This window comes from Homo sapiens, chromosome 8 (genome assembly GCF_000001405.40).
Source record: "Homo sapiens chromosome 8, GRCh38.p14 Primary Assembly".
NCBI lineage: Eukaryota > Metazoa > Chordata > Mammalia > Primates > Hominidae > Homo > Homo sapiens.
The window spans coordinates 16674101-16697462 of record NC_000008.11 but is presented as its reverse complement, the minus strand read 5'-3'; the positions used below and the strand labels follow the sequence as shown (position 1 = coordinate 16697462).

General features: G+C 36.7%; 1 long non-coding RNA gene across 1 annotated transcript in view; it reads left to right on the top strand.

Annotated features, from left to right (window-relative positions):
* The window catches only part of LOC101929028 (uncharacterized), a 382849-nt gene that overhangs the window by 57975 nt on the left and 301512 nt on the right, over positions 1-23362 (top strand). Inside the window, exon 3 of the long non-coding RNA XR_007061175.1 lies at positions 20389-20546. This is a non-coding gene — a long non-coding RNA (uncharacterized LOC101929028). The remainder of the gene's footprint in view (positions 1-20388; positions 20547-23362) is intronic.

Genomic DNA, 23362 nt, shown 5'->3' with positions numbered 1-23362 from the left:
ATAGCTTATTTCTTTTTAGTACTGAACTATATTTCATTGTCTGGATATAACACAATTTGTTTTGTTTTAGTGTGTGTGTGTGTGTGTGTGTGTGTGTGTGTGTGTGTGTGTTCCACAGTTAGAATGTAAGCATCATTTAAAAAAAAAAAGGATTTTGTCTGTTTTTTCATTACCCTAATCTCCAGGCCCTGGTACAGAGCAGATGCTTTCAAAAAATTTTTCCCCAATGATTGAAATGGAAATTAAAACTCTCATTAGGAGGAATTAAAGCAAATCAAAACAAATTCTCTCACTTTTTTTTTTTTTTTTTTTTTTTTGAGACGGGTCTTTCTCTGTTGCCCAGGCTTGAGTGCAGTGGTGTGAAAACTGCTAATTGCAGCCTCAACCTCCTTGGTTCAAGTGCTCCCCCTGCCTCAGCTTCCCATGTAGCTGGGACCACAGGCACGCACAACCATGGTTGACTAACTTTTTGAATTTTTTTGTAGAGACAGAGTCTCGCTACGTCGCCCAGGCCAGTCTCAAACTCCTGGGCTCAAGCAATCCTGCCTTATCTCCCAGTGTTGGGATTACAAGCCTGAGCCACCACACACCATGTTAAGTGGTTTAGGAGCCACAGAAAGGTGAGGAAGGGCAGTGTAGGGTAAGTAACACTTGGCATCAAAGGTGTTCTGCATTTCTGCTTTGTAAAGGATAAAAATATTTGAGGGGCAGAGAGTGTATCTTTTCTTCTCCTACTAATTTCAGAGTTGTTGGATACAAAACTGCAGTCCGAGTATGTCAGGAGTGGAATCTTCTTTTTTCTTTTTTTTTTTAGAGCTAGGAGTTGAATCTTGCTGTCATTATGTTATTCCAAACATTAAGGCTGTGCTTAGCAATAGTCTTAAGCATTGTCATATACACCTGGGAAGTCAACATACAATTGTTGAACCGATGTCAGTGTCTTAAAGGCAGTGGGGAATAAGATACACTGGAGAAGTTCTCTTCGGGAGAGGAATAAAGAAGGTCAAATACACATTGATGGAATATCCAGAGATTTGTGCAGCCTAAGTCTTAAAATTTAATTTGATTTTTAAGTATGTTTATTTTCATTTTTGTTCTGTTTTAGGTTGGTTCTGTAGAATCAGTGCCTGAAATAGGAATTCAGGTGACAGTGATTTATTTACTGAGGAAGTGATCTTCAGGAAAAATCCCTTAGTGGAGGGAGTGAAGAAGGAAAGAGAAGAGAGGGAAGAAGGGAAGGAGAAAGAGCCAGGCAAGGATGTGGTATCAGATGAAGGCTGGGCATGGTCTGATACATGGAAGCTGGGTATGTGTGTGGGGCGTGGGGAGCTGGGAACTTTAGAGTATTCACTGCATGAATGGCAAGGTTGTTGACCTTTTGTACTCCAAAATCACTCAGTCATTAACTGGTGGCTATGACTAAGGAGGCTGTGGTAAAGCAGATTTTGCCAGCTGAGGGCAATTCCTGGAGAAGGGAGCAGCTGTGAGCTCTTACCTGCCAACACAATGGGATTCTACCCTTGCACCCAGGGTTAAGGGGAGATACTTTTCACATAACAGCACCAAAAGAGTTTGCTGAAGCACTGTTAAGAAAATAGACGTTATAGGAATTATAGCAGTAGATTCTGACTTTGCCTTTCTTTTGACACAGGTTGTATTTCCTGTAAGACAGTAAAGTTAGAAATGATTTAACTGGATAGAGATGGAATTTCTCTATTGATTTATATTGAAACTTATGGCACCTTGTACTTTATCACCAGTTGCTTTACCTCTGATTATAGCTTCTGCCATCCACAGCTCATCATGTGCCTGAGGTTGGAATGCCTGGAAGTGACAGTTCATGATAGGAACTTATTTTAAATCAAAAGCCAGATCCACTTCAATTTCTCTGACAATGGGCTCTTCAAATGCTCTGAAGAACAATAGTTTCAGAAGTTAGGGTTCTCTGGCCTTGTGAATTTCTCTCCTAGCAAGGATTACTGAAATTTCATTAAAGTCTTTCTGTGGTCTTTGCTGTATCCAAAATAACTTGTATTTGTTTGATTGCTTTAGTTGCAATATATCCAGTCTTTGGAGATTCTGTCATCCATGATTAGATGTGAAATTTGTCACTTGTAAAATTCCAGCAATGCCAATAATTAATCAATGATTACTACTACAGTTTCTAAAAAGAGTGGGTTCCAAAAAAAAATGTTCCTTTGAAAATCACCTCCGTTTTAAATCTCCAGGTTTATTTTATTATTTGTGAATGCTTCGAATCAAAAAAGGCCTTCTAATATATATTAAGATTCATTGATCCTCCTGTAATCTGTTTAAAGGCTAGAAGATATGATACTATTCTGGTACATATGTCTTAATATATATGTGTTGCAGAATGATTGGATTCCAATTATGTTTAAAATATCTAAAATGATTAAAACATATAACCATCTTATGGAATGTTTAGACATTAGAGGACAAACCTTAATAATTCATAATCTTACTGTTCATGTCATTTTGTTTTTAAATATTCCCTTCCAAGCTTATTTTGTTCCTCAGAGTTGTAAATAAAATTTACACTTAGCACTTATGTCATGAATGTGGCCCATATCACATATTATCTGCAACAACCATTTGAAAAATATTATTCTGTTTTTTGAATGGAAACATTATGTATGTTCATTGGAGAAAATGAAAACAATAAAAAAGTCAATCCTAGTACCACCGATCCCTTATTCCCCTTTGTCCACTTATGATCCCAGGGCTCACAGTGTGGACCTTGTCTTTGAGTGTGGCTGGCAAAGAATATGGCCCTGACGACCTCTCTTGGGCCCTCCTGAGGCTGAGATTTGGTCGCAGGTACTTCTTAGGGGGAAATCTTGGTTGGTTCTCCTAGCAAATGTCTGAAAATCTATACTTTAGCAGATCTGCCTACCTATAGCCGTTTGAGGTTGTTGACTTTTCCTTAGCCACTGTCAGAAAAGGCTGATTCTTTTTTAAATTTTTTAAAAGTGTTGTTATTTTGTTCCTTTTATTTTTAGTTGACATGTCATAATTGTACATATTTATGGCATACAGAGTGATATTTCCGTATGTGTATACAATGCATAATGAGCAAGTCAGGGAAATTAGCATCTCTATCACAAAGAATTCATTCTTTTCTTTGCATTGAGAATATTCAGAATCCTCTTTTGGAGCGTTTTGAAAATATACAATAAATTGCAGTTAATCATCTTCATCTTACAGTGCTGCAGAACACCAGAGCTCATTCCTCCTGTGCAGCTTCAATTTTGTAGCCCGTTAACCAACCTCTCCCTATCCTCTCCTCCTCCCCTTCCCAGCTTCGAATACCTACAGTTCTACTCTCCACTTCCATGAGTTCAATTGTTTTTTAGCTGCCGCATATGAGTAAAAAACATGTGGTATTTACCTTCCTGTGCTTGACTTATTTCACTTAATAAGTCATTAATAATTAATAACATGACTCATCCCTGTTGCTGTGAATAACAGTATTTCATTCTTTTTTTAGAACAGTATTCCATTGTGTATGTATACCACAATTTTCTTTATCCACCATCTGTTGATGGACATTTATGTTGATTCCATATCTTGGCTATTATGAATAGTGCTGCAGTAAACATGGGGTGCAGCTATCCCTTTGATGTATTGAGTTCCTTTCCTTTGGATAATCCGTAGTGGGATTGCTGGATTATATAGTAGTTCTATTTGCAGTTTTCTTTTTTTTTTCTTTTTTTTTTTTCTTTTTGAGACGCAGTCTCCCTCTGACGCCCAGGCTGGAGTGCAGTGGCGCGATCTTGGCTCACTGCAAGCTCTGACTTTCGGGTTCACGCCATTCTCCTGCCTCAGCCTCCCGAGTAGCTGGGACTACAGGTGCCTGCCAGCACGCCCGGCTAATTTTTTATATTTTTAGTAGAGACGGGGTTTCACCGTGTTAACCAGGATGGTCTCAATCTCCTGACCTCGTGATCCGCCCGCCTCGGCCTCCCAAAGTGCTGGGATTACAGGCCTGAGCGACCGCGCCCGGCCCTATATGTAGTTTTTTGAGAACCCTTCATACTGCTTTCTATAATGGCTATACTAATTTACGTTCCCATAAACAGTGTTCTTGACTGTTCTATTTCTACCATGTTGTTACATCAGCATTGGCTCTTGTCGTTGGTTTGTTTCCTTAGAATTGCCAGGTAGAAACTGGAAATTCTAATTGACTCAATTGTTTTTATTTCAGTCATATAATCTTCTGGCCAAGTCTTACAGGTAAGTACACAATGATAATAATTTATTATATATTTAAAAATAAGATATGCTCAATATGTAACCTACACATAATAATTTTGTCTGTTACGTCTCTTTAGGAAGAGAAAGTAATACAAATTTTCTGCGGAAAATTCCTGATACACAGGCTGATAGCTGGTTCTCTTTTTGTTACACTCCAAGATGAGATGATTAAAATTATAACTTTAGAAATCTCTTAAACAAATGGTTATGTGGCTTTGTTTTTCTTTTGGGATTTAGCCTGTTTATGTGTGTGTGTGGTTTTCGTGTGTTCTTTTTGGTTTTAACAGTAGTGTTTATGCTTAAAATTTGTAAGAGATATTTACAAATAAAATACTATCTTCATTATGCACTTTGCAAAATATTCCCAGTTTATTATATAATATTTTGTAGTATGTATTTACTATTCAATAATTATTTATACAGTTTCCATTCTTTTTAAATAATGGCATTTACAACAATTTAGACTTAGCTGTGTATGGAGGTGATGAGACGTCACTGTCAGGTAACTTTTCTCCACCTTGATTTCTCTATTCCTGAGTTCCTGATTTCAATCTGTCTCATGGTTACCTAGAATATGTCTCTAAATTGTTTTTTAAAGGTAAGTAACATATGTTTGCTTTATGAGGGTATTTGAGAATGCTTTGTTGTATAATATGTGAAACATTCAGTTTTGTTTGTTCTAGAATTTCTGTTTATAACGTTTTACTTCTCACAAATCTGTAGTCTTGTTTCATAGTGTTCTTACAAATAATAAAGCAGAAGAGTCTATGGCGAGTTTTTATATTTTTCTTTTGTTTTTCTGCATGGTTGCTTGTATGACTTTTTTTTGGATTTGATGCTAAAGTTTTATTTACCAGGGTATGTTAGGTTTTTTCCCCTATTTTTTAAATTTTGTTTCTGGAAAGTTGAAAGTTTTTTGAGATATGAAGATTGTAGCCTTCATCTCAGGGGTTATATAATATTTATGAAATATGATGTATTAAAAATATATATATCATATATTTAAAAATATATTTATTTTTTTTGCAGTCTCTTTTTCAGTGATGTCAAATAGCCTATCATAGTTTCTCTTGCAGTTTTCATCTCTGTCTTATTTCAGTGCATTCTGGTAGTTGTAGTAAATTGGTTAATTTCATATCTTAGATGAAACCTTCCGATGTATTTTGGCTTCTGTAAGGCTGCTTTTATCCATGGCATTTCTAATTTTTTACATTTTTTTCTGTGTCTTATTCAGCTCTGTTTTACTATTTTATCATCTTTTCTTTTTCCCTATTTTAAGTACTTCATCTTTCATAGAATTTTACTGTAAACTTATTAATACATCATAATTTACCTCTGTTTTCTTAGGAAAGATCAATACCAAGCAATATTCTTTTGCTTCTTCAACTTCGCACAGTAAAATCCAGGTGTGATATTGGATTTTGTTGGTACACCATTGCAGCCTGGTATTCATCAGAAACGTAGTCAGAAGCTTTGTTTGTGTCCTCTCACTGTCCATAAGGATGTTATTAAAATTCTTTTCTAGTATGTTTTGCAGAAGAAATTGTTGATAAAAGGTGACGTTATCAGTTCTATGATCCAGTGCCTGGGATAAGGGGAAATAAACAGACTTTATTTTAGTACAGTTTGTTCTCTGTAGACAGCTATGCTTCTTTGGCAAAGGCCAGCTTTCATATGTAATTTTTTACTGAGCCTTCATTCTCAGCAGAATGTGAGCGGGCAAGGATGGTGTCCACCATCATCCTGGAGGACGGCCTACCATGTCAGGGAAAGGCTCCACCACTGGGCTTCTTATTTCACATAGTTGTGTCACAGGGCGAACCTCAAAGTTGGGGTTCAGTTTGAGAAGTCATATAGGTTCTTCGCTTTGCACAGGAAGGAGTTCAAGAGTGAGCAGACAGAGTTAAGTGAGAGCAAATTATTAAGACATAAAAGAATGAAAGGGTGGCTACTCCATAGGCTGGTTGACTATTTTTATGATTATTTCTTAGTCACATGCTAGACAAGGGGTGGATTATTCATGAGTTTTCCAGGAATGGGGTGTGGAATTCCTGGAACTGAGGGTTCCTCTTCCTTTCAGACCACGTACAGTAACTTCTGGATGTTGCCATGGTATTTGTAAATTGTCGTGGTGCTGGTGGGAGTGTCTTTTAGCATGCTAATGCATTATGATTAGGGTATAATGAGCAGTGAGGACCACCAGAGGTGGCTTTTTTTGCCATCTTGGTTTTGGGAGGTTTGGCCAGCTTCTTTACTGCATCCTGTTTTATCTGCGGAGTCTGCTGAACTCCTATCTCACAGCATTTGCCTCTGAGTACAGCAGATGTCAACAAGGTTTTGAACTGTTTGCTCTCAGTTCCATATTCTTCCTGTCCCCCCAGGATTCATTATGTAAATGTATGATTTTCAAAGAATTTGCTAGATCTTTAGGAATTTATGTGGAACTACCTCAAAGATTGCGCCACGTGAATGTCACCTTGATTTTCTGTTCAATGTTCTGCAATTACTCCTCTATTTTATTTTTCTTTCATCACTTTTATTGGGATTTGAAGGAAACAGTAAGATCCTCGTACCAAAGTTATAGTTAGTCTAGAAGTACTCTATTATTTTTAATAGCAACATATTGTGTTACCAATTGGATGTCCTTAATATTTTAAAGTTTTTGTACATTAGATTGGGTTTACTATTTGCACAAATATATATTTTTCTAATATGTAAAATTTTGATCCAACAAATTTATTTTTCTTGAGCCTCTTTTTTTGCTGTTTTTTGTTTGTTTGTTTGTTTGTTTAGGTACCTAGTAATTTTTATTTCCTATAATTTTCTTTGATGGTAAACTTTTTGAGGAATGAAATTCATGGTTTCTTAGTATAGCCTCCTATGCCCCAAAAGACAAATAATATATATTAAAAGAATGGATTGCTTGTCTCGAGTTGCTATTTGGATGCAAATCAGCCCACTAGAGCTCTGAAAAGTGTTACTTGCTCTCTGTCACATGCTCTGATTTTCAAGTGCAGGACAGGCTCATTTGCCCTTCAATTGGCCTCCCCATCTGGGAGTCCCTTCTCATCTGCTTGTCATTATTTTTGGAGAAGGAAAGCACATGCCATTATTTGCAAAAGCTCGGGCTTGTAGGCCACTCATCAGAACATTGACCATTGACCTTTAACTTGAAATGCTTCTTATCAAACATGCAACGGAAACTTCTATTTTCCCTCTGGCATTCAAATCTATGTAATTTCAAGAGTTCTACAGAAATGAAATGTAAAGAAAATACCCTGACCTCCTGTGTTAACCAACCTTATACAAGAAGCATATAAATGTACATTCCCTAAATCTCTTAGGATTGTAAGCTGTAGAAAGTAATAAATTGCCTTATTTGGTTCTCTTAATTCTCCAAAGGTTTGCAGAGACTCAGAATGCCTCTATTTTTAAAGTTTTCAGGGCCTTGTGCTATCATTTCACACATCTCCAAAGGCTCATTGTGTTATGTGATGTATCTTTCATTTGATGTATTACCTTCCATAATTGTAGCATATGTTTTCTGTGCCTATTAAATCAAAATGAAAATATCGGAGAAAATGAAGATTTTCCCTAATGATTTGCTTATGTTCACATATTGTTTGTTGTTCATATCCAACACCAACCATGCCTATTTTTTTTTCCTGGAGTTATTTTATTGTTGTCTATGGGCTTAGTTGCTGATTGGTTTGTATCAAAGTATGCTAGAAACATTCAAAATGGAATTGCAGAACCAGAAAATATCTGGAAGAAAACCAATTAATTGGACTATTTAGCAAATTCGCAAAAGTGATTAGGAATGGAACACACTTTGTAAGCCCCATTTTTCTTTTTTTTTTCTTTTTTTTTTTTTTTTTTTTTTATTATTATACTCTAAGTTTTAGGGTACATGTCATGGCACATGTATACATATGTAAGCCCCATTTTAAACTGACATTTAGATCCTCCGTTTTTGTGGGGGCAACTTCGGGTTGACAGACAATGGGAAATAAATAGCATTCTGTCTTGAAGATTCTAAGGATGTAGTTTTATCCTTATACTACAGAAAGCACTTTGTGAGTAGCACATGTTAAACCCAGCTCATAGAACTTTTTTTAATGTTATTATTATTATAATTTTTTAGAGACACGGTCTCACCATGTTGTTGCCCAGGTTGGAGTGCAGTGGCACGATCATAGCTCACTGTAACCTCAAACACCTAGGCTCAAGCAATCCTTCTGCCTCAGACTCTTGAGTAGAGAACCAGGCTTTTATAAGAGTTTGTATGGCCCAAATACCTCTCTTCATTGTGGTGGGATTTGTTCCTTCCCCTTGGTTTTGCTTCCTTGCACCACTGTAAGAGCTGTTAATCACAATACGTAATACACATTGAGGCTATTATCCTGGGGAAGTTTTGATATTTGTTAGGCATCTTTTGCAGGGATCACTCCCTTCTTTAATCATGCTTCTCCCTGAATTCTTTCTCTCAGAACTCCATGACATCGATATGGTCAAATGAGCCTGGGGAAGTTTTCTGCAACTTTAGAAGCCAAATATGGTTAAGGTTAGGACACAAAAGAAATGACAGAATGAGATGCTCTAGTGAGAAAACTATTTTTATTGGTTTATGTTTTTATGCCTCTTATCACCATCAGAATATTAAAAGCTATAGGGTCAGGATCAAGTAGTGAGCCTAGGGAATGATACAAATGAAAGCTCATGTTTATTGCATGCTCATTACCAGCTAGTAATTTTCTAAGCCTTTCCCATTTGGTAAAATATTTAATTATCCAAAAACTTGGTCTCATCTTCCTTATGTGTGCTCTAGGAGCAAATGGCATTCTTGACCCATCTGATCCAGTCCTCTCTCAAGAGTGAGAGAGAAGACAAGAATTTGGAGCCCAATCATGATTAGTGTTGAGAAATGTCTCTCTGCCCACTCGCCTCCTCTGCATTTATTCTTTTTTTTTTTTTTTTTTTTTTTTTTTTTTGAGACGGAGTCTCGCTCTGTCGCCCAGGCTGGAGTGCAGTGGCGCGATCTCGGCTCACTGCAAGCTCCGCTTCCCGGGTTCACGCCATTCTCCTGCCTCAGCCTCCCGAGTAGCTGGGACTACAGGCGCCCGCTACCATGCCCGGCTAATTTTTTGTATTTTTAGTAGAGACGGGGTTTCACCGTGTTAGCCAGGATGGTCTCGATCTCCTGACCTCATGATCCACCCACCTCGGCCTCCCAAAGTGCTGGGATTACAGGCGTGAGCCACCGCGCCCGGCCCTCTGCATTTATTCTTTGGCCCCTTTTAGGGAGGTAATGTGTAGGCTAAAGGTTTGAGGACTTAAAATTTTGGCCAATGTTGTCTCTATCTCAGAGATGTTCCTACTATGGAGGTTTAGAAAAATGTGCAACTCTGAGGCTATACTAAATTCTCTCTACAAAAGCATCTTTTTTACACGTTATTGTAAAGGAAACCTCTTAGCTTGATTGCAATCTTTAGCCTCGGGTATAAACAGATGAAAGACCTTGTGATCAATTTTACTTCAACTCAGAAAAAGTTGGTACCTTGATTACTTTCTTTTCCTTTAGTCAACATTAGAGGAAATTATGGAGAATAACTTTTTTCTTTTCTAAGGGTTTTCTGAATTTATTTGTCAGCAGAGGTTATTTAATGGCCATGTCATAGCCTCAGAATCTATAATTCATCTCTCTTGTAAAATGTCTCTTAAAATACTATTATGATTAATACATGCTGAAAATAAATATATAGATGTTCCTTGACTTACCATGGGGTTATATCCCAGTAAATCCATGGTAAGTTGAAAATATCATTAAGTCAAAAATGTGTTTAATACACCTAACCAGACATCATAGCTCAGCTTAGCTTATCTTAAACATGCTCGGAACACTTACCTTAGCTCACCATTGGGCAAAAGCATCTAATGTGAAGCCTATTTTATCATAAAGTGTTAAATATCTCCTATAATTTATTAAATATTATACTGAAAGTGAAAAACAGAAGGGTTGTATGGGTATTTGAAATATGGTTTCTACTGAACGCATATTGCTTTTGCACCATCGTAAAGTTGAAAAATTGTAAATTGAACCGTCTTAAGTTGGGGACTGTCTGTATATGCTTAAATTATTCCTTACAGATTCTCACCTGGGCTTCAGTAAACGAATTTTGCATGGAGAGTTTCAGATGATGTTCAGTGACAAATTTGTACCTCAGACAACTTGGGATTCAGAAGAATATTTTGCTGCGACATTGGATTAACTCAATTATGTAGTAATTAACAAGATCTACTTCAAGTATGAGGATTTCAACACATGCACATATACACTTACCACCTAGAGTTTTTAGTGGCTGGAAAGCAGCGGAAATCCTCTTGAAGGGGAACTTTGTCATCAGAGACCAAAGAAACAGGTCTAGTAATTAGTCCAAAGTTATTGTGTGGCAATAGCTGGGTAAAGTGTCCAAGAGCAGGAATTTATTTTTGTTCAGGACTCTGTTGGTTTCTTGTATTATACCATAACCATAACATTAAATGCCCACTCGTTACACTGCATTGACATCAGCTAATGCTAAGCTTCTCTCCTGCCTGAAGTGTAGCCCTTTCTGTTTTCAATACCACCATCCTTCTTCTTTGCTTGCCTACACTTAGAGGAACACTTTCATCACTTACCAGGTAGACTGAGAAAAATGTGGCCTTGGCCCTTTTTGAATGGCATCATTAAAGGTATGCAGAAATTTAAAAGTGATTTTGCACAAACACATGGGCTTGTGATTTCAGGAAATATTTAGTTGACTTCCTTCCTGGAGATTCTAGGCCATGGAGGTGCAGCAAAGTTAACCAGAGGGTAACAGTCAATTATAGCCACGTTCATAGCAATACTACTTGCAACAGTGCTAAACTGGAAACAACCCAACCCAGTAGAATGGGTAAGTCGTTATGTATTCATACAATGGCATAATTCAATCACAGAAAAATTTTTAAAATGCAGTGGCATGGATAAAGCTGACAAACATAATAATGGGTAAAAGGACCCACACACAAAAAATATGCACCATAGGATTCATAATAATGGCTAAAAGGACCCACACAAAAAAAATATGCACCATAGGATTCCATTTATATGTATTTCAAAAAACAAGCAAAACAAACCAATTCTTTTAGATCTTGAGATAGTGGTTACCATTGGAGGCTTCTGTCTGGAAGGGGACACACTGGGGCTACAGGAGTTCAGTAATGCTCTGTTTCTAGGTGCTTACCTCGTGGATGTATTCACTTTGAAAATCCATTGGGCTGAACTTTCTTATTTCTTTGTTATGCTTCAGCAAAGAATTTTACATTAAAAAGAAGGAAGAGAAAGCAAGCAAGCAAGCAAGAAGGGTGGTAATGAGAAGCTGAGAGCAGTGTGCCAACTCGCAATGCCATCTTCGCTGACATGTAAAAATAGTTGTGTTTTAACAAGTGTGCTTTGCTTAAATGAAATAGGTATGTACTCCCATTTACGTGTCATGTGATGGACAGTTGCTTTTGTTTTTGGCAAATTTTTAAGAGGGAAATTGAGTTGAGCCCAGTGGCATAAAGCAAGAAAGAGGACCAATTCATTAAGGAGCCCATCTGATGACATACCTAGGTTAATAGCAAGAAACTACTAATTAAAACTACTAATGATACTAGCCCCATTGGCCTATATTTTCTGCATAATTCTTGATTTGTATCCTCTTCTAACTAAATTGCCTTGCTGAATATCATTGCACATGTGTTCATTGTTTGTTTGACAGAAAGGGAAGGCCGGGTGCAGTGGCTTATGCCTGTAATCCCAGCACACTGGGAGGCCAAGGTGGGTGGATCACGAGGTCAGGAGCTTGAGATCATCCTGGCTAACACGGTGAAACCCCGTCTCTACTAAAAATACAAAAAATTAGCCAGGCGTGGTGGCACGCGCCTGTAGTCCCAGCTACTCGCGAGGCTGAGGCAGGAGAATGACGTGAACCTAGGAGGTGGAGGTTGCAGTGAGCCGAGATCGCGCCACTGCACTCCAGCCTGGGTGACAGAGCAAGAAGACCCTGTCTCAAAAAAAAAAAAAAAAAAAAAAAAAAAAGAGAAAATCTCTGCATGGATAAAGAATATCAATATATTCTCTTGGCAAATGATTAAGGATATCTTATTAATTCACAGTAGATTTTTTTGTTGAAAATGTGTGAATGCATTTTATGCCTTCACTCGCCTTTTTTTTTTTTTCTGGGTGGACTTTTGGGATTTTTCTAATGGACTTCCTTTCTTAGAACATTTCTAGATTTACAGAAAAATTAAGAAGCCAGTAAAGAGGATTCTCATATAGTCTGTGTGCACTTTCCCCTATTATTAACATCTTACATTAGTGTGGGTCATCTGTCACAATTAGTGAACCAATATTTGTATATTGTTATTAACATATACATCCACAGTTTATTCAGATTTCTTTAGTTTTTTACGTAGTGTTTCTTTTTCTGCGCCAGGATCCCATTCAGGATACCACGTTACGTTTTGTTGCCGTGTCTCTTTAGGCTTGTCTTAGCTGTCACAGTTTCTTAGACAACTCTTGTTTTTGATGCCCTTGACAATTTTGAGGAATCCTGGTTAGATGTTCTGTAGGTTGCCCAATATTGGAATTCGTCTGATTATTTTCTTATGATAAAACTGGTGCTATAGTTATTGGAAGGAAGAACAGATATAGCATCATTTTCATCTCCTTATATCAAGGATGCATACTATCGACATGACTTGTGATAATTGATGTTGACCTTGACCAACTGGCAGAAGTAGTGTCTGTTGGGTTTCTTTACTGCAAAGTTCCTCTTGCTGTCCTCTCTCCTTGCTTTGAATTGGAAGAAAACCACATATTGAATTACCCTCCGCTGTATAAGAGTGAACTCATGCTATTTGAAGCACAAAATTTTCTTGCTTTTAAGAAGATAGAAATTATAGGGGCATAAATGGCAAGATCAACCAAGTCTTGAACATCAAATTGATGTTTCTTGTGCCATTTCCCTATGGGGTTATTTCTTTTAGAATCACTGAGGTGGGTGATTTGAGGAATAGATACTAGCTATCATACTGCCTGGCATTTTGAGAATATTTGGGTAATTAAATCTTAATTCATTTAATCTTTTTGAATATGATTTTGAATTATCTACAAAACCTGCCTGATGCATAGATCTTTTAAAATAATTGGTGGTACTAATACCTCTATGTCAGATTATTGCATGTTATACAAAAATATCAAAATTATTACCTTTATAATAATGCTTATACCTTTTATAAGTATCAGGTGAGTTACATTTTGAGAAGATTTACCTGAAAAAGACAGGACAATCCTGCTAACAGTGAGAAAGCTTATCCTGTGTGCTGTAGAAGGGGATCTTATCTGTGTTACATATTTTTGATGAAATTAAAATACTTCGGAAGGAATTCTGAGTGTCACAAACTGCTGACATGAAAAATGGAAGTGATTATAGGTTTAAACAGAAAAACTGATTATAAGGTTTCTAAAATTGAGCCAGAGGATTTTGAGTAAAGCTTTATGAATCATAGCATTAGACAACAAAGTTTATCACTTTTTCATAGTAAGTTCACAGTGATTTTCCATTTTATGTTTTAGTTTATGACACAGCAGAATTCTTGACAATAAATCTCTTAATTCCTTTAGAGTAAATAGTTCCCATTACATCTAGAAATGCAGAAATATACTTACACAATAAAACAGTTCTTTTAAAAACAATTATGTTTATTCAAAAAAAGCTAGACGAAATTAAATCAGGCTATTTTAATTGATCATAATACAATTTTAAAGATTAAAACCAAGTATTAAAAGACAAAGTAGCCAAGAAATGATGAATTAATTAGTAAATAATATGATTAGCTCAAAATGCTCTTATATTAATAACAAAACCATTTTTTCTGCTGACATTGATTATAGCTAAGTTGACATTGTGAGAGTTAAATGTGGTTTATTGAAACCTGAAATAGTTGAGTTGCCTGGTCTAGTAATGGAGTTAAGTTCACTTTATTTGAAGGTACTAAGCTTATTGCATAAGTAAAGCTGGCAGAGTTATACTTGCCATACTTGCAGTTAACAAATTTAAATGCCTTCCTGGTGAAAGAGTGCTGGTTAACTGAGCCCTGTCAAATTTTTTATTCTGGCTGCCTCCATTGAAGTTGGCCAAGCTTGTGGCTGGTGATGCCCCAGGCTTCCTTGTAGCTGAAGAAAACTGAAGAAATGAGGATACTACTTTATAAGTAGAAGAGAATACGGTTGCAAAGAGGCAGAAACCAAGTATACACACACACACACACACACACACACATACACACACACACACACTACACACATGTTGTTTTTAGGTGCCATTTCAGAGGCATTGTATCTGTGTATGTGTGAATACTTGGTTTGTGTTACTTTGCAACTTTATTGAAATAAGATCACACATAGCATATCTGCTTGCTTCCTGTATTGCAAAGCAAATTTTAAAGTTGTCGTTCTTCTGACTGAGGCTCACTAACATAGATAACATTGAGAAATAAATGGAAAAATGATCCAGTATTTTTATAATTTCATAAGCACAAAATGATGTAGTGGAAAGTATTCTAGATTTAGGAAAGTATTCTAGATTTAGGATTTAGATTTAGGTGTTTCACTCCTAGCTCTGGTGCCATTAGGAAGTCATTCAAATCTTTAGTGTGTCAATTTGTTCATTTAAAGAATACTTTTGGATTAGATAATAAGCCCTCAATAAGTAGTAGTATTATGTGCATTATATACACTGTCATATTTAGACCTCATAAGAGTTCTATGAGATGGTCTTCTGCAAATGAGTCAACTGAGGCTGAGCAGGCTTAAGTAGCTTACTCAAGATCGCCTGTTTTGAATGGGGCTGAATTCAGGAATGTAAATGAAATGTTACTTTACTCAAACTCAAAGTTAGCAAGTTATTTTTTAAAACTGTGTAATTAATGAAAGCATGTGTTGTGGATTGAATTATGTTCCCCCAAAATATACGTTGAAGTCCTAACCTTCAGGACCTTATGTGAATGTGACGTTATTTGGAAATACGATTTTGGCAGATATGATCAAGTTAATATGCAGTCACACTGAATCAGGATGGGTCTGAAATCCTGCAACCAGTGTCCTTATAAGAAGGCAACCGAAAGAGTCAGAGATGCACATGTGAAGACAGAGGCAGAGTTTGAAATTATGCATCTGCAGGCCAAGGAACACCAAAGTTTGTCAGCAGCAAACAAGCCAGGAGGAAACAGACTTCCTCCCTCAGAGCCTCCAGAAGGAACCAACCTTGTGGGCATCTAGATTTTGGACTTCTGGCCTCCAGAACAATGAGAGATTACATTTCTGTTTTGTTTTTTTTGTTTTTGTTTTTTGTTTTTTTTTAATGTTTTAAGCCATTCTGTTTGTGGTACTTTGTTTCAGGAGCCCCAGGACCCTAACACAAAAGGTTTATTCTTAAAATTTATTTATTATTATTATTTTTTGAGATGGAATCTCGCTTTTTCACCCAGTCTGGAGTGCAGTGGTGCGGTCTTGGCTCACTGCAACCTCCACCTCCCCGGTTCAAGCGATTCTCCTGCCTCAGCCTCCCAAGTAGCTGGGATTACAGGTGTGCTCCACTACGCCGGCTAATTTTTTGTATTTTTAGTAGAGACGGGGTTTCACCATGTTGGCCAGGCTGGTCTTGAACTCCTGACCTCAAGTGATTCTTGACTTGTTATTTTGGACAACTTTGAAAGGGTCAGGTCATCAGTGGAAAGACTGAATGTTGTCAGATTACTGTTTTCCCTTTCTTCAAATCCATTGTTACTTTGTTGTTGGAATTCGGGAAGTTTCTTTTTGTCTGTTGGTAAGCATTCTTACAGAGTGAAGATGAAGAGAAAGCAAATCATTCTTAAGGTTATAGAATGTAAGAGAATAAACTGTCATTCTGTTCAAAGTGTAGTGTGTACATTTTAACAGGTAATATTTTTATTCTATTATCTCAAAAGGCTCTCATTACAAGTGTCATTGTTTCACAAATTTGGTGAGTTAATTTGGTTTTTGTTTGTTTGGTTTTGATAATACAGTAAGGAGACGTGCATTTGTCTTTTTCCTGAACTATCAGGAAAGATAAATGGTCTCCCTTTAGATGCCTTGTCAGCATTAAAGAAGTAAAATAGTGGCTTTCCACTCTGTTAGGGGGTGGTATAATCTCTGCAGAAAATTGATATTTCTCGTGCACTCTCAGAAAATATTGTCTGCAACTGAAGTTACAAAAAACCTCAGTCCATTTAAAACAAGGCAGCAACGTAACCAGAAATGGCACTTGAAAACATGACCAAATTTGACACATTGCACCATTAACGACACCGTCAGCCGCATTGAAGTTCATTTTGATGATAAGGCATCAGTGACATCTGCCCATTTTAACTTGTTAGGCTATTTCTTCCCACAGCAGCAGTACATCTAAATCACCTGTAATTTTTAAAAAAATATATATAATATAAATAAATTCCTGGGCCTTCCTCTGAGATTCTGATTCAGAGGTGTTGGGTGATGCCTGGGTGTATGTAATTTTGAAAACTCTATATGGGATTCTGATGTGCAGCCAAGGTTATGAACCAGGGCTATAACAAAAGTGATAATTGTTAATGAAAAAGAGGCTTCTCCTTTGGCTATGAATATAAGATAAAGTTCAGCATGCCAAAAGAGTCTTCTGGTTTTGTAGCAGAATTTTCATAACTGCTTATTTCTAATTGCCCTTGTGTAACTGGTGGTAGGGACCAGACTTAGAAGCTGATTTTTAACCCAAACTAGCCAACCTTCAACAGACCGTAATGATATATATCATTTATGTTAAATGATTAACTCATACATTTGAACATCTGGAGAACCAGGGTAAAGAATTGTGACAATCCTACTATTAATTAAAATAGGGTTTAGGCAATTAGGTTCTTTCAATTTATGATGACAATTGTACATTATTTCTCACTCTTTAAAATATATCAACATCAAAATGAATGTAACAAAATTCATATGTAACTAATAATTGAGTTGTAGCTCACAGGATGACACAGTGCTGTGTTGGCAGAAATTACATAATTTTTTAAAATTTTATTTTTTTCATATTTTTGAGTCATTATTTTTCCCCCAGATCTCAGATACATGTATATTTTTTGGCCACTGTGAAAGGAGTGATTGCTAGATCCTAGGTCAATAGGGTTTAATGTTAAAAAGATCCTGGGAGCATTAAAACTACCTCTGGAATTTGGTCCAAGATATTTGCTGATATCTTTCAAAACAACTTGATTGCTCCCCTCTCATTATGATGTGAAATATAATAGATTTCAATGAAACCCTAAATAGAGCATAAAGGGAATGTAAAGAGTTCTGAGAGCTGGATGCTGTGGCACTTGAAGACACAAAAAACTTGAGAAATAGCTTTATTTTCAGCTCCTTGCAATTAAAGTCATGAGGCATATGCACAGGATGGCTTGTCAGAGTTACCTGAAATGGCAGAATGCAATAATTAGATCAGAGCATCATCCAGCACAATAGCTGGGCTCCAATTATTAGACCAAACAGTAGCTGATGTGCATGTACAACATGCACACACGCATACACTGCTCTACACTGACCTGCTACTTTGGATATGCCAGCTCTGGAAATCTGAAGGAACATTTGTCTCACCTCATCAAATGTCAGTTACATAAGTGCAGTTGTTTTATTGTTCCAAGGAATCCGACTTTCCTTTTGAGAATCATAAAAGCTGCCTCTGGTGCAGCTGGATGGATTTGATGAACATTTCACTGAATATTGTATCATTTTTTGTATATGCTCTTAATTCTAAAATATTGGGCTATGCACATAAAATGTGCTCTCATTACAATAACAAACAGATCAGTTGAAAGGACACCTTTTGCCTAGAGCATTTTTGCAGGTCTGAATTTGAAGCTGGATGATGAATTGAAGAAGATACTTCAAAGGACAGATATATGGCATATCAAGACATGACACACACACACACACACACACACACATTCATGAATGCATATCGTGATGTTATGTAGTGCTTACTACTCAAGGTGATCAAATGTTTTATTATTGTTCTCGCCACTGACCAGCTATGTCTGTTCTGAATCTGATATTCCCTCTGTCATTCCCTTTATTGGATTCTGCCGAGTTATCAAATGTACCACAGCAGATCTGCTAAAAGTAAAAATGAGAAACTGTCTCTGATGGTATCAACATAGAAGCAATTTATTTTCTTTAGCTGTAATAAGGGAGGACATAACTTTCTCTTGTTACCAGAGGCTGTGCTGTTGAAAACTTATGGGTGATTCTATCATCGTTCTTGATATGATGAGACAGTGTTGTGATCTGGCCAAATGTGCAGACGCTGTAGCCACATTGCCTTGGATTGGGTTGCAACTCCACCCCTCACTGCTGAGCAATCCTGGACAAGTATATAACTCCTTGTGCTTCAGACTCCTCGCCTGTAAAATGAAGCTAATCATAGCACTTGCCTCAGAGAATTGATGTGAGGACACAATAGGCCAAGAACTGCTAAGCACTTAGTGTGGTATCTGGCACAATCAGAGAAGGTTAACCATTGCTATTCTGTGATTACTTAAAATATATTTTTCATGTCAATTTAAACAATATTTTTGCCTTTAATTTTCTTCTCCGTAATTTTAGTTGGTGAAAATAAAATTTGAGCCCATTAACTCATTCCATATATTATGAAAAATCAGCATAAAGGTAAAAGTATTAATTTCTGACTGAGCTCAAAGAGCAGACATTTATGCCACTACGCATGTGGGCAGGACACTGTAATGAATAACAAAATACATTAGCCAAAGAAAGACTAGGATGAGTAAGGGAATTTTCTTTCATATGAAACTCATTTTTCAAATATCTATCAATTCATTGAGTTAACAAGTTCAGCAAAAAGAGAAGTAAAGAAAATATAAATGAACAAGCAGCTGTTAGAGTCAGTTATGAACTGAGCAAATGAAGACGATTTCCTGATAATCTGCTGAGGTTTAGTTTTGAGTTTTGAGGAACATAGTCATCTTCATCTGAATAACTTTGAATATAACATCATTGACTTTCTGATCTATTAAATTAAAACGCGTACACTGTAGATAACATGGAAATGCAAAAAATCATAAAAAATACAATTTGCTTTATAATTTTGAGGTATTTTGATATAAAATTTAATACCTACTCACAGTTTAGACTCCATTTTATAAAATAATGTCATATCCTAGTTTTACTTTTATTCGAGTGTTGCATTAGGGAAGTTTGCCAAATATTCTATTGAAACATGATTTTTAACAGCTGATTACTATTCTAGTATGTGTCTCAATCATGATTATTATTGTCATTCTCTTTTATTGGGCATTTAGATTTTTAAATTTTTGCAATTGTAAATACAGTGTCAGTGAGCATTCTTTTATGAAAATCGCTTATCTCATCTATCATTGTTACCTTAAGGTGGATTTCTAGAAATGAAATTGCTGCAGCAAAAGGACTGCATAATGTAAACACTCTTGAGACAGATGACCAATTTGTTTCCTGCAGTTTGTTCGCATTTACACACTTCTAACAATATGGAGATGTATGTCTCACTGAAATCATGATGACAACAGGTATTATAATTTTTTAGACTATTTTAAATTTGATAGAAATATGTATATGTTCACTGTTTCCAGTTGCATTCTTGGATCTCTAGGTAGGTTTACTTTTAAATGGTTTAATAACTTTTCTTTCTTCTTTTTAGAGTTTTTTGCTTCTGTCTGCCAATTTTTCCTTTGGGGCACTCATCATTTTGATTACTTAAATATGCATCTTATGTAAGTGATACAAACTGCTAGTTTTTTCCTCACAATACATTCACCCTTTTTCATACATCATAGACTTTTGGACTCAGCACAGCTAAGGATTATATTTTCCAGCTTCCTATGTAGCTGGGTATGGACATGTGGCTAAACTATGGTCAATGACATCTGAATGAAAATGAGCTATGACATTTTGGGCTGTGCTTTAACAGCATGTGATACGGTCTTGTTCTCCATTCCCAGGGTAGAAACTGGAACCACTGTCTTGAATCAAAAGATGGAAGAAGCTTCTCTTGAAGATTAAAGGGACACAAGACAGAAGTTGTCTGTGTCCCTGAGGGCTTAGCAGAGGAGACTTGACCTACTTTCTTGGGCTTGTTGTGACATCTATTTTGTTTAAGGTAAACATTGTTTGTTTTAGGATTCCCTAAGGAGTCCAAAGCAACATTTGAACAATCACCAGCCTTAGTACAGTGTCTGGAAATGGGATGCCTTAACAGAACCTAAAACTTGATGCATAGTCTCAGTGGTCGGGTGGCAATAGCAAGGGTGCCGATATTGCAGGTTTGCCAGCAGGTGACACTTGCCATGTCATACCAGTATGTGTGGCAAATCCATTATCTGTGATATCTTGGAAGTCAGTTTGTATGCCTACAGAGCACATGTTAAGAAAAATGCAGAAATTTGATGTATGTTGGTTATTTTTACCTTTTATAGTAAAGTCCTATTAGTGAAATGAATTTGGGCTGTAATACATCATTTTGCTCGCTGAGATGAAAAGGTTGTCAACAGAATGAAATCTAATAATGGAGCCTCTGGGTTTTAAAATCCAGTGTTGAAAAAGCCAACTGCTTTTATTCCAAAATGAAGCCTTTGTATGAGATGGCTCTGAACAGATACTGTCGCTGGAGACAAGATTTCTAAGCCCAAACTCCTCACAAGCAGCTTCCCTGAATTTTTCTTTGACAGACCACAGACACCATCCAGAAACTAACAAATACTTTTCTAAGGGATATTCTTTTTTCCTTATTGTAAACGACATGTCAAAATGACTGCCACTAAATTGAAAGGGATAAGAGTAGTAAGAACACAGAGGCCAGTAAATAAATGATCAGAGCTTTCGGGTTTAAAAATGATCCCAGTTGAGAACTTCAGCTGTGGTAACGTGAATATGTAACCATCTAGAGGCAAATAGAACAGAAACTTTTGAGGGGTTGGCGCCAAAGAAATGAAAAGTCTGGCTTGTAGTAGCCTCTCGTTACTTGACTTCTGAAGCCATGGCTAAGCTTCAAAACCAGATTAATAGAAAGCAGTCGCCAAGACGTGACTTCAAAGTCTATGGCATATGTGACCATGGAGGAAAATGGACAAGAAAGACTATCATGGACAGTAAAGTCCAGAACAACAAAAAAGAACAGGTAAGGGGGCTCCTTTCATAGAATAAACCGAGAACTGAGTATATTCCAACTCCAAGCCAGGACACTTTGTCACAGTTTTCTCTTTTCTACTCCATAATTGTATTTTGGGTGTATACATGTGTGTATATGTATGCATATGTGTGTGGATGTGTGTGAGTCTGTGTGTGTGAGAGACAGTGTATGTGTGTGTGTGTGAATGACTTACCTCTTTGATTATAGCTCTTTGAACCACATGGAATTTCCCCATGAGGTCTGGATATGGTTCATGATGGTCCAGACTTCTATACACAATAAGGCAAGTTTTCTAGGTAGAAGCTACGACTCTCAATTTGTTAGCTTTCTGCAAATGTTCTCTATACATTTTTGAAAATACTTTCTAATCATTTCTTTACTCTACCTAATACATATTAATTGCATGCAATTAAAAGAAAAATTTATAAATTGGAAAGGTGGTTTCAAAAATAGCTTATTTCCTCTTGTCATTAGATAATTAATAATGTATATTTACATACTGTATGTTCATCACATAATACGTAGAAAAGCAAAAAGATAAAAAGGTCTTTTTTTAAATTTTTTTTATTTTTTATTTTTTTTGGATTTATTTTGTTATTCTTATTTTTTTTTATACTTTAAGTTTTAGGGTACATGTGAACATTGTGCAGGTTAGTTACATATGTATACATGTGCCATGCTGGTGCGCTGCACCCACTAACTCATCATCTAGCATTAGGTATATCTCCCAATGCTATCCCTCCCGCCTCCCCCCACCCCACCACAGTCCCCAGAGTGTGATATTCCCCTTCCTGTGTCCATGTGATCTCATTGTTCAACTCCCACCTATGGGTGAGAATATGTGGTGTTTGGTTTTTTGTTCTTGCGATAGTTTACTGAGAATGATGATTTCCAATTTCATCCATGTCCCTACAAAGGACATGAACTCATCATTTTTTATGGCTGCATAGTATTCCATGGTGTATATGTGCCACATTTTCTTAATCCAGTCTATCATTGTTGGACATTTGGCTTGGTTCTAAGTCTTTGCTATTGTGAATAATGCCGCAATAAACATACGTGTGCATGTGTCTTTATAGCAGCATGATTTATAGTCCTTTGGGTATATACCCAGTAATGGGATGGCTGGGTCAAATGGTATTTCTAGTTCTAGATCCCTGAGGAATCGCCACACTGACTTCCACAATGGTTGAACTAGTTTACAGTCCCACCAACAGTGTAAAAGTGTTCCTATTTCTCCACATCCTCGCCAGCACCTATTGTTTCCTGACTTTTTAATGATCGCCATTCTAACTGGTGTGAGATGGTATCTCATTGTGGTTTTGATTTGCATTTCTCTGATGGCCAGTGATGGTGAGCATTTTTTCATGTGTTTTTTGGCTGCATAAATGTCTTCTTTTGAGAAGTGTCTGTTCATGTCCTTCGCCCACTTTTTGATGGGGTTGTTTGTTTTTTTCTTGTAAATTTGTTTGAGTTCATTGTAGATTCTGGATATTAGCCCTTTGTCAGATGAGTAGGTTGTGAAAATTTTCTCCCATTTTGTAGGTTGCCTGTTCACTCTGATGGTAGTTTCTTTTGCTGTGCAGAAGCTCTTTAGTTTAATTAGATCCCATTTGTCAATTTTGGCTTTTGTTGCCATTGCTTTTGGTGTTTTAGACATGAAGTCCTTGCCCATGCCTGTGTCCTGAATGGTAATGCCTAGGTTTTCTTCTAGGGTTTTTATGGTTTTAGGTCTGACATGTAAGTCTCTAATCTGTCTTGAGTTAATTTTTGTATAAGGTGTAAGG